Source organism: Homo sapiens, chromosome 16, assembly GCF_000001405.40.
Source record: "Homo sapiens chromosome 16, GRCh38.p14 Primary Assembly".
NCBI lineage: Eukaryota > Metazoa > Chordata > Mammalia > Primates > Hominidae > Homo > Homo sapiens.
The window spans coordinates 67,055,376-67,074,761 of NC_000016.10; the positions used below are offsets into that span (position 1 = coordinate 67,055,376).

Genomic DNA, 19,386 nt, shown 5'->3' on the forward strand with positions numbered 1-19,386 from the left:
TTTTTTTTTGAGACGGAGTCTCGCTCTGTCGCCCAGGCTGGAGTGCAGTGGCGCATCTCGGCTCACTGCAAGCTCCGCCTCCCGGGTTCACGCCATTCTCCTGCCTCAGCCTACTGAGTAGGTGCCCGCCACCACGCCCAGCTGATTTTTTTGTATTTTTTTAGTAGAGATGGGGTTTCACTGTGTTAGCCATGATGGTCTCGATCTCCTGACCTCGTGATCCATCTGCCTCGGCCTCCCAAAGTGCTGGGATTACAGGTGTGAGCCACCACACCCGGCCTCCAGACACTTTCTTTAGTTTTTCATTTTATGATTTCTCTTTTGGACTGTAAGATGATCGGTAAATTACATTAAATCACTATAGAAGAAGCTATTTTTACACATACATGCAACCCAGTTATGATTCAGAGGCAAACAAGATTGAATGACTGTAGAGATTATCTGACAGTTGAGCAGCTGACTGTCCATTTATGAACAGGGAGGTGCATGTGGCTAAAGGAGGATGAGTCAGAACCAAGTATCTTCTAAAGGAATCTGTTGAATAGACTACAGAAATGATTACAGCAAGCGACAGGGTACATACTTCTTCAGTGGAATATCTTGTTTTCTTGGGTGCCTATGGCCATCCCAGTATTACTGTTGGATGATTCATTGGTCTGTGGGTAGGAACAACTCTTCATTGTCAGGGAAAAAACAGCATGTCTCCTTTGGAAAGAAATTACTGTCAGTGTTGCTGTGATGTTCTCTATGTTTTATAAGTTTTCATTTTGTGCTTTTTGTTGGTGATTTCACTGTTTAAAATGGCCCACAAGCATAATGTTAAAGTGCAGTCTAGTATTCCTTAAATGCAAGAAGGCCGTAATGTGCCTTATGGAGAAAATGTACATGTTAGATAAGTTCCCTTCAGTCATGAGTTACAGTGCTGTCAGCTGTGAGTTCAGTGTTAGTGAATCAGCAATATATATTGAAGATGATGTCTGAACAGAAGCATACATAAAACAAAATTATGTATTGATCAGTTGAGGAAGATGTTAGGCTAGAAGGAACCTACGTCTGCATTTCCCCTAGGAACAGTGGTTTAGTGTTCACTGATACAGTGTTCATGTAGATTTGATAGAGTATAACAATGGCAAGTCGTGTGTGTGTGTATGTGTGTAGGCTTAATGGTTTTCTTTACCCAGTATTTACTATGTTTTTTTCCATTAACAGCATAATGTAAACATCCCGTGTAACATGCTTGTTTTTGGTGGTGAGGGATGCTTGTTTTTGGTGGTCAAGGATCAGCAGACCTGCCTGGATTCTAGCAGGCTTTTTTTTTTTTTTTTAAGACAGAGTCTCGCTCTGTCACCAGGTTGGAGTGCAGTGGCATGATCTCAGCTCACTGCAACTTCGGCTTCCCGGGTTCAAGCAGGTCTCCTGCCTCAGCCTCCTGAGTAGCTGGGACTACAGGTGCGTGCCACCACACCCAGCTAATTTTTGTATTTTTAGTAGAGACGGGGTTTCACCATGTTGGCCAGGATGGTCTTGATCTCTTGACCTCGTGATCCACCCTTCTTGGCCTCCCAAAGTGCAGGGATTACAGGCGTGAGCCACCATGCCCGGCCTCTAGCAGGCTTTTTATTTTTGAGATGGAGTCTCACTCTTTCGCCCAGGCTGGGGTGCAGTGGTGCAATCTTGGCTCACTGCAACCTTTGCCTCCTGGATTCAAGTGATTCTCCTTTCTCAGCCTCCCGAGTTGGTGGGATTACAGGCACCTGCCACCATGCCCGGCTAATTTTTGTATTTTTAGTAGAGACGGGGTTTCACCATGTTGGCCAGGCTGGTCTCGAACTTCTGACCTCAGATGATTTGCCTGCCTTGGCCTCCCAAAGCACATGGATTACAGGCGTGAGCCACCGCGCCTATCCTCTAGCAGGCTTTTTAAAGGTCAGTGTTCAATTTGGAAGTTTATTTATTCAGCTCATTATCATTGGGCGTCTAGGTTATTTCTGATCATTTACCATTATTTACAAAAATCCCCTGAGAATGAACATTCTTGTAATAGAATTTTTTTTTACATCTTTGATTAAGTTTTAGGCTAATTCACAGACGTGGCATTGCTGTGTCAAAGGAAAATGCACCCTTATTCCCCCAAATTGCCTTCCCAAAATCATTAGCCAGTTTACCCTCCCCCTGACAATGTAATATAACCTGTTTTCCCTCCTGATACATGTTATTGAAATGTTTTTCAATTTATTTTAATATTTGTTTTAAAATAGTTATCTTGTTCTGATTTAATATGTTAGTGAACTTTTTTTCATAATTTTTGGTTAGTTATGTTAATTTTGTTCTAAACTATTCTTTTCCACATGGTTAGCCAGTTTTTTCAACTCCACTGGTTAAATAAAATATCCTTTTACTATTGATTTTAAGTGTTGCCTTTTTCATATGTTAAGTATTTATATACTTGGTTTCATTTTTGAATTTTTTGGTTTTGTTCCATTAAGTTGTAGCTGACTGCCACAGCACTCCTATATATTTATTGGTTGTGTTGTATGTTTTAGTATCTGAAAGGGCAAAAAATTACTCTTTCTCTAATTTCTCATGGATGGCCTGATTGTTTTATGTGAACTGTAGACTTCCCAAATTCTAAAAAACATTATTTTGATATTTCAGATATTTCATTGGAATTTTGTTGAAGATTACTTTGGGATAAATTGTCATTTGTAGTCTTTCCAGTCATGAATATGACATCACACTAGTTATTCAAATCGGTTGTTGTTGTTGTTGTTGTTGTTGTTGTTGAGATGGAGTCTTGCTCTGTCGCCCAGGCTGGAGTGCAGTGGCACCATCTTGGCTCACTGCAACTTCTGCCTCCTGGGTTCAAGTGATTCTCCTGCCTCAGCCTCCTGAGTAGCTGGGATTACAGTTGTGCGCCACCATGTCCAACTAATTTTTGTATTTTTAGTATTGATTGGATTTCACCATGTTGGCCAGGTTGGTCTCCAACTCCTGACCTCAAGTGATCCACCCACCTCAGCCTTCCAAAGTGCCGGGATCACAGGCGTGAACCACCACGCCCGACCAACAGTTCTTTTTTTATATATTCAGCTCTTCCTCATTAAAAACTTTAAGTTAATGAGCAGTGCTATTGTAGTGCTGGAATCTCTTTTTGGGTGGGTGAAATAAATCTTTTTGAACTCATCATATATCCCCACTGCCCTTATAAGCATTTCCTGCACATAGTTAACAGGTAATAAACATTTGTGGAATAGGTGGATCTTTTCAAATGGAAATTATTATAGGAAACTTACAAGAAAAAAATTCTAGATTCTAGCTGTTTTCTGTTCTTCTATTAATCAGTATTTAAATATTTACTGAGAACCTAAGGAGTAATGAATGATCACACCCTCTTACGTTTTCTTAATACGTCAGTTTATAGACTAGAGCCACCAGTGTTTAAGCTCTAACAACTTATTACAGAGAATCGAGATATCCTTTCCAATCGAAAGGGATTTTTTGATAGTGAAGTTTCAGCTTCTTGCTTTTGTCAATAGCTTTGACACTTGGTTTCTGTGTGTATTGATTTTATGACTCAGTACTGATGTGCATGGGGGTCTTGTTTGCAAATCTGTAGTTACTCTGTTTTAATTGCCTTGAAATTCTCTTTAGAATCACTCAAAAGAGGGAACTCTGCCATCCCTTTGTACCTTTAATTTGTCTCCTCATCTCGGCTACCTAGAAACTATGATCTTTTCTGTAAGTTATATAGTATTGTAAAGGAAAAGACAGGTAAGGATGCCACTGCTTATTCCAAATTTAGATATTCATAGAATAAGTACCTTCCAGACCCTCAAAGAACTATTTGTACAGGTTAATACATGAGAAGTAGACTTAGGTTCTTCCTTTGATACTTAAATTTCAAAACACAGGATTAGTAATATTTAGCTACTTAAGTTTGGTTCATTTGCTAAAAGAAGAACATTTACCATCTCAGGCCCTGTATTAGAAGGATCTTTGTGTCTGTGAGAGAAAAGGCAGAATGGAGTTTTTCTATCATAATTGAATCCGTTTTGCCTTGCACACCCCTTTGGAGCATTTGATGAAAGCAGTGGACTTCATTAGAAAAATGCACATGGGCTCAAACACATACATTTTTGCGCAGCGACGTTTCTGGCCTTCTTGAAACATATCTGTAAGCCCAAACCCCTGTAGGTTTTCTGAACTCCATCTAATGCAGCCAACAAAGGGGAAATTTTAAATGGGGCCTGTAACAACCTTTAGCCTGCGTTCCTTCAGGTTTCTTCACTGGCTGTTCATAGCCTGCCCTGCTGGGGTTTTTTCTTCTACCCAGCATCTAAAAGTTGGACTTGCTCCAGATTCTTCCTGGGTCCCTTCTTTTCCCCTGCTTACTCTGGGGGTCTCTTCCTTTCCTCTGGATTTAAATACCATGGTATTGTTGATGGCTGCCAGATTTATAACAGCCCGGATCTATTCTCAGAATGCTGGAATCCCATATGTAACTGCCTCCTCAAAATCTTGATTTGGATATCTCATAGATATCCCTTATATGTAGCAGATAAAAATTGTTGCAAACTTTTAATTCTTTCTTTCTTTCTTTCTTTTTTTTTTTTTGTTGAGACAGAGTTTCGCTCTATATCCCAATCTGGAGTGCAGTGGCACGATCATGGCTCACTGCAGCCTCGACCTCCTGGGCTTAGGTGATCCTCCCCACCTCAGTCTGCAGAGAGTAGCGGGGACTGCATTTGTGTGACACCACACCTGGCTAATTTTTTAAAATTTTTGTAGAGATGAGGTCTCACTATGTTGCCCTGGCTGGTCTCAAACTCCTGAGCTCAAGCAGTCCTCCCAAAGTATGCTAAGATTACAAGCGTGAGCCACCACTCCTGGCAGCAAACTTTAAAAAATGACAGCTCATTGAGATACAATTCACATACCATAAAATTCACTCTTTTAGAGTGTACGATTCATTGATTTTTAGTACATTCGGAGTTCTGCAACCATCATTACCATTTAATTTCAAAACATTTTCGTCACACCATAAAGAAATCCCATACATGGTAGCAATTACTCCTCATTTGCCACTCCCCTGTGCCCCTGGCAACTACTTATCTCCTTCGTGTTGCTCTGTTGCTCTGGATTTAGCTTTCTGTACGTTTCTGGGGGGTTTTTTGTTTTTGTTTTTGTTTGTTTTTTTGAGACGGAGATTCAGTCTAGTTGCCCAGGCTGGAGTGCAATGGCGCGATCTTGGCTCACTGCAACCTCCGCCTCCTGGGTTCAAACGATTCTCCTGCCTCAGCCTCCCGAGTAGCTGGGGTTACAGGCATGTGCCACCACGCCCAGCTAATTTTGTATTTTTAGTAGAGACGGGGTTTCTCCATGTTGGTCAGGCTGATCTCAAACTCCTGACCTCAGATGATCTGCCCATCTCGCCTCCCACAGTGCTGGAATTAACAGGCATGAGCCACTGCGCCAGCCAGCTTTCTGCACGTTTCATATAATACGTAACCTTTTTCTAGCTTCATTCACTTAGTATTATGTTTTCAAGGTTCATTCTGTGTTGTTGTGTGTATAAACATTTCATTCCTTTTTATGACCAAGTAATATTCCATTGTATGGGTGATACCACAGTTGATGGTACAAACATGTTTTTGCTGAAGCTCTGCTGCATGAGTGGTGGGAAATTTAAAGCCACAGAATGTGAAAATTAGGTGATATCATGTATAATTTAAATTGAATATAACATCACAAATACTTATATTTAGAGCTTGAGATGATTAAAAATTGTGTTAAACTAGCTTTTCCCTTACTTTTCCAGAAGAACACAAGATGTGACACTGTAGTCACTTTTTAACCTGCTGTGAAGTCTCAAACATATTTGTGATATTTTACTTTTGGAAAGATAAACTGTTTTCTTGTTTTTCTCATGTATGGTTAGCTGCATCTGTTTACCCATTTTAAATCAATTTTGTATAAAATATTTCATTGTTCTAGGACAATGGGTTTAATCCCTAGTTCATATTCTAATAACTTTTCTTTTTAAAGTTTGAAATAAGGAATCATTTTCAGTGAAAAACTGTCTTTGTGCTTAAATGACATTTTTTTTGACAGAAGCATTTCACTGTGTATTAAATGACATTATTGAATTGCATTATAAAATGCCAAACTGTTGAGACAGAATTTTATTTTCTTTATACTTTGAAGTTTGGTATTCATGAATACATGAAAGCACCAAACATTTACTTTGAAGATGTACACATAAAACTGTATTTATTTGAATGAGAACATCTAAATAAATCAGTAGGATCATCTAAATATTATTTTTAATTATAATTGCAGTCATTAGTCTTGATTAAAAATTGTCATCATTTTCTGGCTGGGTGCGGTGACTCACACTTGTAATCCCAGCACTTTGGGAGGCTGAGGCAGGCGGATCACCTGAGGTCAGGAGTTCAAGACTAGCCTGGCAAACATGGTGAAACCCCGTCTCTACTGAAAATACAAAAATTAGCGGTGTGTGGTGGTAGGTGCCTGTACTCTCAGATACTTGGGAGGCTGAGGCAGGAGAATCCTTTGAACCTGGGAGGTGGAGGTTGCAGTGAGCCGAGATCGCACCACTGCACTCCAGCCTGGGCATTAAGAGCAAAACTCCATCTCAAAAAACAAAGAATTTTACTCATTTTCTGAAACCATTTAGAAATTTCCCAAAACAGATCATTGGTTTTCTTTGTCATGAAAGAACATTTATAAATAAGTAATAAATGGGCTTTTAAAAAATTTAGTAATTTTATAAGGAAATTTTTTTTTTTTGAGACAGAGTTTTGCTGTTGTTGCCTAGACTGGAGTGCAATGGCATGATCTCGGCTCACTGCAAACTCCATCTCCCGGGTTCAAATGATTCTCCTGCCTCAGCCTCCCGAGTAGCTGGGATTACAAGAGCCCACCACCACGCCTGGCTAATTTTTGTATTTTTAGTAGAGACAGGGTTTTGCCATGTTGGCCGGGCTGGTTTCGAACTCCTGACCTCAGGTGATCTGCCCTGCCTTGGCCTCCCAAAGTGCTGGGATTACAGGTGTGAGCCACCGTGCCCAGCCAGGAAAATATTTTTGACTATGGACATTAATATGAATAAGCTGGCCGGTGCGGTGGCTCATCCCTGTAACCCGAGCACTCTGGGAGGCCAAGGCGGGCGGATCACCTGAGGTCAGGAGTTCGAGAGCAGCCCGGCCAACATGGTGAAACCCCGTCTCTACTAAAAATAGAAAAGTTAGCAGGATGTGGTGGCATGCACCAGTAATCCCAGCCACTCGGGAGGCTGAGGCAGGGAGAATCACTTGAACCCAGGAGGCAGAGGTTGCAGTGAGCCAAGATCATGCCATTGCACTTCAGCCTGGGAGACAGAGTGAGACTCTGTCTCAAAAATAATAATAATTTTTTTAAAAAGAATAAGCCAAGAGATTGTGGAATCTTCAATTCTAAAGAATATAAATCATTTATGACTAATATAAAATCCAGTTCAAGTGGTGTAAAGTTGACTTTGCTATTAGAAAAGATGTCTCCATGATTAGAATTTATAATGAGGTGTGCTAATAGGTGAAATGACAATCCCCAGTGCATGCTACTCCGTCCACCTGTTAGCCTTCTAACAGGGTTTAAGATTAATGAAGATTTCTGGATGGAAATCTTCATGAGAGATGGTAAATCAAGATTCACTGAGATGAAATAAGGGGTATTGTTTTTAGGTTTTGTGATGGGTTGAGCAGAGGTCGGCATAGTCACTTGTTTGATTTGATGCACATTGGTGGAGTTTTAAATGCACAGTGTGGAAGGGAATGAGCACTTATCAGAACAGAAGGAAATGTGTGGTTAAACGGTTTCAGTTGTAACTAAAGACTATTTCCCTTGGTCCAAATAGGAGGAGAAATGGAACCTTTTGTATTTTGGTTATTTTCCAATATAAGTAGAAATTGGTTCATTGTGGTTTATTGCAGCCCTTAGCAGAAATGATTGGGTTCAGTAGTGAAGGGGAATGACACAAATATGTACCAGGAAAGCATAAATTTTTATTTATTTTTTATTTTTTTGAGACAGAGTCTTGCTCAGTCTACCAGGCTAGAGTGCAGTGGTGCGACCTCAGCTCACTGCAACCTCTGCCTCCCAGGTTCAAGCGATTATCCTGCATCAGCCTCCCAAGGAGCTGAGACTACAGGCACACACACCCACGCCCAGTTAATTTTTGTTATTTCTTGTAGAGACAGGGTTTCATCATGTTGTCCCAGCTGATCTTGAACTCATGACCTCCTGCCTTGGCCTCCTAAGGGGCTAGGATTACAGGCATGAGCTGCTGCGGCCAGCCAGAGGGTATAAATTCTATAAGTACTATTTTAAAGGTATCTCAGAGGTAATTTTTTTATCATGTTTATAATTATTGGCAGTCAGTTATTGTTATTAAACATCTCTAAAAACAAAAAGAATCCAAGAGTCTGAAGAGACTACTGAAATGAGTTTCAAAAAAAAGATGCTTCCAGCTTTTTCCTCAAAATGAGAAACTGTTTTACAGATTTTTATATAATTAAACAGGTAATAAATAATGCCAGATTTTAGCTCACAAAGCACTGGATTTCCCAAAGGAAATACATTTGGTGCAGGTAAATGAAAAGCCTCGTTAATAAATATATATTTGATAATCTGCAGGTTTGAAAACTCACTGAAGAATTCCCACTTCCTCTGCATTAAAAATACCTTGTTCAAGGCAGTAAATATTAACCTATGCTGGTTTATTCAGAAACTCATGTTAAACAAGGTAGAGAAGACCTAAAATTATGTGTTTTGTTTGTTTATTTGTTTTTGAGACAGAGTCTAGCTTTGTCACCCAGGCTGGAGTGCAGTGGCACGATCTCAGTTTACTGCAACCTCTGCCTCCTGGGTTCAAGCGATTCTCCTGTCTCAGCCTCCCAAGTACCTGGGATTACAGGCACCCGCCACCATGCCCAGCTAATTTTTGTATTTTTAGTAGAGACGGGGTTTCACTTTGTTGTCCAGGCTGGTCTCGAACTTCTGATCTTGTGATCCACCCGCCTCAGCCTCCCAAAGTGCTGGGATTACAAGCGTGAGCCACCGTGCCCAGCCCTAAAATTATGTTTTTAAAAGTAACTATTAGGTTAGTGTGGTATTAGGAGTGGGAAGATTGTAGAAACTGTAATAAATTTCTCTTATATTGTTTATCTCTATCACAATAAAATATTCACCTCAGGATGATAGAATTAACACCGTCCTTTCTGGGTGGATAGTTACTCTTGGGAACAATTGTATTTTGAGCCAATATGAGAATTAATTTGGTGATCAAAAATGATCTAAATTTGGGTATGATGTATACCTAAAGCAATTTTTATTCTAGAGTTATTTATTTACTTGAAAAAGAATGGTGCAGAAATGGGTTTTTGTTTTTTGTTGTTGTTTTTTATTGTTGTTGTTTCAGAAGAAAAGTTAATAAAAGTGTAAAACAGAAGTTTTCTTTTTTTTCTCTCTCTTTTTTTTGTTTGAGACAAGTCTCACTCTGTCACCCAGGCTGGAGTGCAGTGGCACTATCTCGGCTCACTGCAATCTCTGCCTCCCGAGTTCAAGTGATTCTCTTGCCTCAGCCTCCCGAGTAGCTGGGATTATAGCTGTGCGCTACCATGCCTGGCTAATTTTTGTTATGTTCAGTAGAGATGGGGTTTTGCCATGTTGGCCAGGCTGGTCTGAAACTCCTGACTTCAAGTGATCCGCCCAACTTGGCCTCCCAAAGTGCCGGGATTACAGGCATCAGCCACCGCGCCTAGCCAGGATGTAGGAATTTTCTCATGAAGCTGAAGGTTCACCAGATGAGAGATACTTTTGGTTTCAGGAATCTTGAAGATCTTTTTAAAATTTATTGGTACTTTTTTAAACTGCAGTGCATAAAGTATAGTGAACATATTTAATTTGTCAGTGACTTGAGATGTTACCATATCCTAGGATACTTATTTTCGATATTTCTCTAATGTGTAAGTAGATATACTTGTTGGATGTGATACAGTATGAAGCCTGGCTAATTTTGTCATCTAAAGGTATTATGTGTAAGGAATAAACACATTTCCATTTATTAAGAATTCAAGATGCTTGGTTAAGTTTATTCATTTTTTTATTTTTATTTTTTTACTTTTTAGAGGTGAGGTCTCTCTGTGTTGCCCAGGCAGGTCTTGAACTCCTGGCCTCAAATGATCCTCACACCTTGGCCTCCCAAAGTACTGGGATAACAGGCATTAGCCACTGGTGCCTAGCCTTTTTGTCTTAGTTGATTTTGTTATAGTATTTAAGAATTTCAACAGGGAGTTGAAATAAGTAGATTTTGGGTTAACTTACCAGTTTCTAGATAAATAATTGATACATGTAGTCAAACCCTGTGACCTTAAAACTTTTCTACTATATTTAAAAGACTGATTCACCTTACTGTTGCCTATTGGGAAAAGTAAAAAATAAATAAATAAAAAACTGTGAAATAGCTTGAATTAAATTTCATAAGTCCCATATAAAGGATAGCAGTGTTTTGTTCCGAATTATTTATGGACACCTAAAGATAACCACATACTACTTAATGTGATATAATAGTAAATATTATACCAGTTAAAGTTCTTTGGTTAAAAGCAGTAGAAATCAACTCTGGCTAACAAGACAAAAAAATAAAAAGAAAAAAAGATTAATTATCAGGAATCTGTGAGATAGCTTATAAAACTGAGGGGAGTATCAACAGCCTGATCCTGCATGCTCCAGGAACCCACGTTGAGGGAAGCAGTGCATGCTCTCTTCAGAGGGTGGTGGCTTCCAATTGTTTTCCATCTTTCTACCCAACATTCAAAAATCAAAGTGTCTGGCCGGGCATGGTAGCTCACGCCTGTAATCCTAGCACTTTTGGAGGCAAAGGCTGGCAGATTGCCTGAGCTCAGGAGTTCAGCACCAGCCTGGGCAACATGGTGAAACCCCATCTCTACTAAAAATACAAAAAAAAAAAAAAAAATTAGCCAGGCATGATGGTGAGCGCCTGTAATCCCAGCTACTGGGGAGTCCGAGGTGGGAGAATTGCTTGAACCCGGGAGGCAGAGGTTGCAGTGAGCTGAGATTGTGCCACTGCATTCCAGCCTGGGGAGCACAGCGAAACTCCATCTCAATCAATCAGTCAATCATAATTTTATTCATCTTTTCTACAGAGTTTATATAAGTAAGTTTAATCTTTTTATTTTCATGTGTCTGATGGTTTTCAATTATTTTCATCCTTTTCTGTGTCTTAGGTATATTTGAAGGCTCCCATGATTCTGAATGGAGTCTGTGTTATCTGGAAAGGCTGGATTGATCTCCAAAGACTGGATGGTATGGGCTGTCTGGAGTTTGATGAGGAGCGAGCCCAGGTAGGGTAACATCAGGCTTTATTGAGCATGGTCCCTTTAGTCCCTAATCTTGCCTTTGCCTGGGGACCTATTTTACCCAATTTTTAAGAGTAAGTATAGAAAGTATTGTGTTGAAGCAATATTGAGGAATCCTGAAAATGTTGATACTCAAATTCTGATCCTGATTTTGGGAAAGTTTTTTCTTCAGCAGTTCTAAATTTCATGGGTTATTCGTATCTGCTCAGTGGGTGCTTCAAAGTCCAGCAAGTAGCTCTTTAAAATATTTATTCTTGATCTTTAGAACACTATGAATAGGGAAAAAAGAAAAAACTGTTCAAAATAAAATGTAGGAGCCGTGCTTTTGGAATGCTTGAGTGAGGAGCTCAACAAGTCCTCTCCCAAGAAAGCAATGATAAAACTTGACAAAAATTGTTTAAAAAAAAAAAAAAAAAGCTGGACGTGGTGGCTCACACCTGTAATCCCAGCACTTTGGGAGGCTGAGGCAGACGGATCACCTGAGACTTGAGGTCAGGATTTCGAGACCAGCCTGGCCATCATGATGAAACCCCATCTCTGCTAAAAATATAAAAATTAGCCAGGCATGGTGGTGCACACCTGTAATCCCAGCTACTTGGGAAGTTGAGGCACGAGAATCGCTCGAACCCAGGAGGCAGAGATTGCGGTGAGCCGAGATTGCGCTACTGCACTCCAGGCTGGGCAACAGAACAAAACTCTGTCTCAAAAACAACAACAACAACGAACAACACCCATTTAAGGCCTCATGGAAGCTATTGAATCTCAGTAAGATCAGTGACAGTCTGTGTCATTTTAGTCAGGAGCTGCTCCCATTCCCCAGCTCTGTGGTCCCTCAGGTTCTTCCCTGGGCGGGCAGGGTAAGCCATGAGCACTGGTAGATCTGTTGTCCTGTCAAAGAGAGCTGACTTTATTAAAAGCAGGGCTTGGGAAAAAAAAAATCCATGCCCAGGCATATTGTTTAAAATGATAGAGGTCTCATTTGCTAACAGTCTGGCAAAGCTAGTGTTGCAGAAAGCAACAAAATGGCAGACCAGCCAGAAATTTATCAGGGAGATTCAGGGAAAGTGATAGGTAAAGTAGACCCTACTAAGATTACACTCATGTCATCCAGAAAGCTGTGTGCATGTACAAGGCTACACCTGCTCTCTTGAAGAGAACACAGAAGGTCCTTGCATGCTACTTTTCCCTGGATGAACACAAGGTAGACTGGCAAACTCCCTGATCTTTGAAAGCATTTCCCCAAGCTACACACAAGTCCAGTGGCAAAAGATGGAAGTCTGCTGACTCAAGATGTTTGGGTAAAAACTCTGACCAGTCATTGGCTGACGGCTGAACTATGCTGATCCAGGAACAACCCCCCAGAAAGCAAGACTTAAAAAAGACAGCTGTGCGCAGTGGCTCATGCTTATAATCCCAGCATTTGGGGAGGCCAAGATGGCAGGATCACATGAGCCCAAGAGTTAAAGACCAGCCTGGGCAACATGGTGAGACCCCATCTACACAAATAATTTTAAAAATTAACCAGGTGTGGTGGCATGTGTCTGTTAGTCCTAGCTACTTAGGAGGCTGAGGTGGAAGGATCGCTTGAGTCCAGGAGCTCAAGGCTGCAGTGAACTATGATCATGCCAGTGTACTGCAGCCTGGGCAACAGAGTGAGATCCTTTCTCTAAAAAGAAAAAAAGAGAAAAACTGAGCAGTGACATCAGAGGCTGTGCACTGCTGTGGAAAACAGACTCCTCAGAATTAGTCCAGGCGAGTCACTAAACAAACAAACATCAACAACAAGCTGAAAGCAAGGATCAGAAGTCAGAGTTGCTACAGTATATTATCTAAACTGTCTGGTTTTCAGCAAAAAGTTATGAGATATGCAACTATGAAAATGCAACTTATACAAAGGTGAAAAAGCAAGCAATATAAACTGTCTTTGAGGGGGCCCAAGTGTTGGTTCTTAGTGAGAAAGACTTCAAAGTAGTTGTTATAAATATACTGAAAGAACTAAAGGAAAATTCTTTCCTTTTAATGTTAAAGGAAATTATGATGGCAGTGACTAATTAAGTAGAGTATATCAATAAAGGGATCTAAATTATTAAAAGAATCAAATAGAAATTCTGGAGTTGAGGCTGGCCGTGGTTGGCTCATGCCTATAATCCCAGCACTTTGAGAGGCCAAGGCGGGCGGATCACCTGAGGTCAGGAATTCAAGACCAGCCTGGCTAACATGGTGAAACCCCATCTCTACTAAAAATACAAAATCAGCCAGGCATGGTGGCGCATGCCTGTAATCCCACCTACTCAGGAGGCTGAGGCTCAAGAATCACTTGAACCCGGGAGGTGGAGATTGCAGTGAGCTGAGATTGCACCATTGCACTCCAGCCTGGGCAACAAGAGCGAAACTCCATCTCAAAAAAAACGCCGAGTGTTGTGGCATATGCCTGCCATCCCAGCTTCTCAGGAGGCTGAGTTAGGAGAATAGCTTGGACCCAGGAGGCAGAGGTTGCAGCAAGCCAAGATCGCATCACTGCACTCCAGCCTGGGCGACAGAGCAAGACTTCATCTCAAAAAAAAAAAAAGAAATTCTGGAGTTGGAAAGTACAGTAGTAACAAAAAGTTCACAGACTAAATGGTAGATAAGAGCTGACATATGAACAAGAAAAATTAACAGTCTTGGGGACCTGTGGGACACCAGCACACGTATTAACATAAATGTAATGAAAGTTTCAGGAAAGGAAAGAAAGAGGTTGAAGATACATTTTAAGAAGTAGTAGCCAAAAACTCTCACGTTTGATGAAAAATATTAATCCACATTGTCCAAGAAGCTCAATGGACACTAAGTAGGATAAACACAAAGAAATCCATACCTAGTCACATTATAAACTGTTGAGAGACAAGGAATCATGAAAGCAGCAAGAAAGGATTCCTCACACGCGAAGGAACCACGGTAAGATTAACAGCTGACTTCTCTTGAAATCATAGAGGCTAGAAAGTTGTGGGATGACATATTAAAAGCACCAAAAGAAAATGTAAAAGCAGATTGGGTGCAGTGGCTCACACCTGTAATCCCAGCACTTTGGGAGACCGAAGTGGGAGGATCACTTGAGCCCAGGAGTTTGAGGCTGCAGTGAGCTGTGATCGCACCACTGCACTCAAGCCTAAGTGACAGAGTGAGTCCCTGTCTCTTTAAAAACAAAGAAAATGTAAAAGCACCTGATTATTAGCAGGTATTAATGTCTTTTAATTGTTTGCTTGATATTAACCTTAATAAAGTTAAAATAATAACAGGAACATAAAGAAACTCTTTGTTTCTTTGTTGTATCTTCCCATATAGTTCTTTATATATGGAAATGTAAGAATTTTCTTTAAAGGAGATCAAAAAATTAAAACTTTCTAGTGAAAAGCTTAGGATTCAAAGTTAAAAGTCTTAAGAAAGAATTCTTGGTCTGGCCCAGGCCATCCCAGTGGCACATGCCTGTAGTCCTAGCTACTTGGGAGGCTGAAGCAGGAGGATCCCTTGATCCCAGGAGTTCCAGCCCAGCCTAGGCAACATAATGAGACCTTCATCTCTAAACATAAAAATAAAGAAAGAATCCATGCACTACCCTGATTTCCACAATGCTAATGAATTTCCAATTCTTTCAGAAAAATAATAAATAACCAGCAATCTAAAAGTCTATTTTCTGTTAAGAAGTGATAAAGCAGACTTTATTTATATAAGGAAAATTCAGATTGGATTGACTTTTAAAAAACTAAAGTATTTTGACAGGGTGCAGTGGCTCACGCTTGTAATTCCAGCACTTGGAAAGGCAGAGATGGGAGTATTGCTTGGTCCCAGGAGTTTGAGACCAACCTGGGCAATGTGGCAAAACCCTGTCTCTACCAAAAAAAAAAAAAATTAGCCAGCTGTGGTGGTGTGCACCTGTAGACCCAGCTACTCAGGAAGCTGAGGTGGGATGATTGCTTGAACCCAGGAGGCTGAGATTGCAATGAGCCGAGATCACACCACTGCACTCCAGCCTGGGTGACAGAGCAAGACAAGACCCTGTCTCAAAAACAAACAACAAAAACTAAAGTATTTTATTAAGATAATAGGTTAAAATTTTTAACATTTTTTATACTTGGAGTTTTCCAAGCCTTATTTCCATAGTCCCCAAATTGAACTATATCACTACAAATTAAGTGCCATCTGTTGTGATAGTTTACTACTATCACAATGGAGTTACATAACTCTTACCGATAATAGGAGTTATACAGTGTATAGTAAAAAAAATTCAGAGCAGGTGACTCCAACTATTTAGGCAGCAATCAGTACTTCCCTGTAGCTCCCCTTGTCCCCATCTGCAAGATAATATAAGTAAAGAAGCAATGAAATGTAGATGCTAGGGGCAGGAGTTCATAGTCGTATAATGTGAATCCTGGCCCCACTACTTACCAGCTCTCATGAACTGAATGTTTGTTTACCCCATCCCCAAATTGATATGTTGAAGCCCTACTCCCGTTGTTACTGTACTTGAAGATAGGGCATTTATGGAGGTAATTAAGGTTAGATAAAGGCGTAAGAGTGGGGCTCTGATCCAGTAGGGTTAGTGTCCTTAAGAGACAGGAGAGAGCTCTCTGTCTCTCTCTCTGCCGTATGAGGACACAGTGAGAAGATGGATGTCTGCATGCCAGAAAGAGGTTCCTCACGGGGAACCAAATTGGCTGGCACATTGATCTGGGATTGCTAGTCTCCAGAAATGTGAGAAAATAAATTTCTGTTGTTTAAGCCACTCCATTTATGGTATTTTAGTATGGCATCCTCAGATGACTAAAACACTAGCTGTGTGATGCTGGCAAGTTATTAAATCTCTCCAGGCCTCAGATTTCTCCTTCCTAAGATGGGATAATGCTGCCCACAAGATTGTGGGCAGTTGAATGGGATAGCATATGTAAAGGGCTGTGCCTAGCACAGTATCTAGCGTGCAGTACAGTTCCTAAACAAAGACTCTTGTTTGTTACTGCTTGTACTTTAGCATTTTATACTTAGGGTTTCCACTCTTCTCCAGATGTCTGTCTTGTGAAGTAGTGTGTAAAATCACAAAGCATGGATTTCAGCCCTCTTTCACTGGGCTGGAATAGGCCCCATCTCTAGCGAGTGAGCCGGTGGCAGCCTCACTTCCATGGCCCAACACAGCTTTGTTTCTCTCTGCTGATCACACAGGCAGAAATAACTCTTCTGAATTAACCAAAAAACAGTTTTTTGAAAAGTTAAAGTTCATGGTTAATGTTATATCATTCATAATGTAATATAATTTGATATAGGATGAGAGTGACCATATTACTTATTGTAACTGTATTATTCCTAAAAGTATAAGGTCATGTTTAACTGAAATTATATAATATTTTGACCCACAAATTGATTTTATTATATTGCTAGCCCTAGAAAAATTGTTTCATTCAAAAAACATTTTTAAAAATACGTTTTTAAATAAAACAACATGTGCACATTACAGCAAAATAAAAGTTATATCTTTATGCTAATCTTCTGAACATTAAGATTAATAAGCAGAATACTTAGTCTTGATATTTATTCATGCACTTTATTAGTCTCTTATTTATATCTGTATCTAATATTTTTCTGAAGAATATATAGATTTTTCAATATGGTCTTGTTTTTCTTTTTTTTTCTTTTTTTTTTCCAGACAGAGTCTTGCTCTCTCACCCCGGCTGGAGTGCAATGGCACAATCTGGGCTCACCTCAACCTCCGCCTCCTGGGTTCAAGCGATTCTCCTGCCTCAGCCTCCTGAGTAGCTGGGGTTACAGGCATGTGCCACCATGCCCGGCTAATTTTGTATTTTTAGTAGAGACGGGGTTTCTCCATGTTGGTCAGGCTGGTCTTCAACTCCTGACCTCAGGTGATCTGCCCGCCTCAGCCTCCCAAAGTGCTGGGATTACAGGCGTGAGCCACCATGCCCGGCCTCTTTTTTCTTTTTTTTTTTTTAGCGACAGAGTCTTGCTCTGTTGCTCAGGCCAGAGTGCAGTGGTACAATGACAGCTCACTACAGCCTCAAGCTCCTGCCGTGCTTGGCTAATTTTTTTTATCTTTTGTAGAGATGAGGTCTTACCATGTTGGCCAGGCTGGTCTTGAATTGCTGGCTTCAAACGATCCTCCTGCCACAGCCTCCCAAAGCACTAGGATTATAGGCATGAGCCACTGCATCTAGCCCCTTACTTTTATTTTCTTCATAAAAGTGCCCACAATATGCTTCAGAGTTGCATATTATAATTAGTAAATTTGGAACAGCTGACATCTTCAATTGAGTGTCTGTAAACTACGTAAAAAATTGACAAAATACTCTAACAAATGCTGAAGTATCTGGTAAACTAAGAGCTAAATGGAAGAGAGTCAATTCCATTTTTGAAAGATTAAATTGTATAACTATTTCAGCTGAAATATTTTCACAGGTATTGTCTCTGCTTTTGTCCAGAGTGCCTTTCTTTGACAAGTTTGGTATAAGACAATACCTGTCAAAGCTGTCTCTATTTATGATTCTGTCTCTATTTATGATTCTTCTGAAAATTTTGCCAAGTTCAGTTACTTCAGAATCAAATCATTTCCAGTTAAAAATGGAATTCCATCCAAGATTCTTTTCCCAAAAAGAAACAGAAGACATGTGACCAGATGCAGTGGCTCATACTTGTAATCCCTGCACTCTTGAGAGGCCGAGACAGGTGGATCACTTGAGGTCAGGAGTTCGAGACCAGCCTGGCCAACATGGTGAAACTCCGTCTCTACTGAAAATTCAAAAATTAGCCATGGTGGTGCGTGCCTGTGGTTCTAGCTACTCAGGAGGCTGAGGCAGGAGAATTACTTAAACCCAGGAGGTGGAGGTTGCGGTGAGCCGAGATCGTGCCATTGCACTCCAGCCTGGGCAGCAGAGTGAGACTCCATCTCAAAAAAACACGAGGCCGGGCGCAGTGGCTTATGCCTGTAATCCCAGAACTTTGGAAAGCTGAGGCGGGCAAATCACCTGAGGTAAGGAGTTCGAGACCAGCCTGGCCAACATGGTGAAACCCGTCTCAACCAAAACTACAAAAATTAGCCGGGCATGGTGGAGGGCACCTGTAGTTACTTGGGAAGCTGAGGCAGGAGAATGGCATGAACCCAGGAGGCGGAGCTTGCAGTGAGCCAAGATGGTGCCACTGCACTCCAAGCCTGGGCAACAGAGCAAGACTCCATCTCAAAAAAAACAAAAAACAAAAAACACCAAGCTGTTATTTGCAGAAGATGCATGTACTTAGAAAATCTAAGATAATTTACACACTATTAAGAAAACTAACACATGAATTTCACAGGGCATTAGATGTAATACAAGGTCAGTACACCATCAGTTACATTTCTATATACCAGCAATAAACAAAGACAAAGGTGACACTGCAGTGCAGACAAGGGTGGGGGGCAGGGGGTAGGTCTCTTCAGTAAATGATGCTGGGACAATAAAACATTTCTGTGAGGGGAAAATATATCAGAGCCCCTTATACCATTCACAAAAATCAATTTCAGATGGATAGCAGTTTATAAAATGTAAAACAGTAAAGCTTTTTTTTTTTTTTTGAGACAGAGTCTAGCTCTGTCACCAGGCTGGAGTGCAGTGGCGTGATCTCAGCTCACTGTAACCTCTGCCTCCCGGGTTCAAGTGATTCTCCTGCCTCAGCCTCCCAAGTAGCTGGGACTACAGGCACGTGCCATCATACCCTGCTAATTTTTGTATTTTTAGTAGAGACGAGGTTTCACCATGTTGGCCACGCTGGTCTCGATCTCTTGACCTCATGATCCACCCGCTTCGGCCTCCCAAAGTGCTGGGATTACAGGCATGAGCCACTGTGCCCGGCCGAAACAGTAAAGCTTTTTAAAGGAAAATGAGAAGATCATTTTGTGACCTTGGAGTAGGCAAAAACTTGAACAGGACACAAA

At 40.8% G+C, this 19,386-nt stretch overlaps 1 protein-coding gene across 6 annotated transcripts in view; it reads left to right on the forward strand.

The window, feature by feature from the left end:
- The window catches only part of CBFB (core-binding factor subunit beta), a 71,910-nt gene that overhangs the window by 26,227 nt on the left and 26,297 nt on the right, over window positions 1-19,386 (forward strand). For 4 of the 6 annotated variants that reach the window (NM_001755.3, NM_022845.3, NM_001368709.1 and 1 more), the window contains one exon: window positions 11,307-11,423. The exons of the other annotated variants lie outside the window; for them this stretch is intronic. In NM_001755.3, coding sequence (NP_001746.1) covers window positions 11,307-11,423 — 117 coding nt within the window. The remainder of the gene's footprint in view (window positions 1-11,306; window positions 11,424-19,386) is intronic. 6 annotated transcript variants of the gene reach the window in all.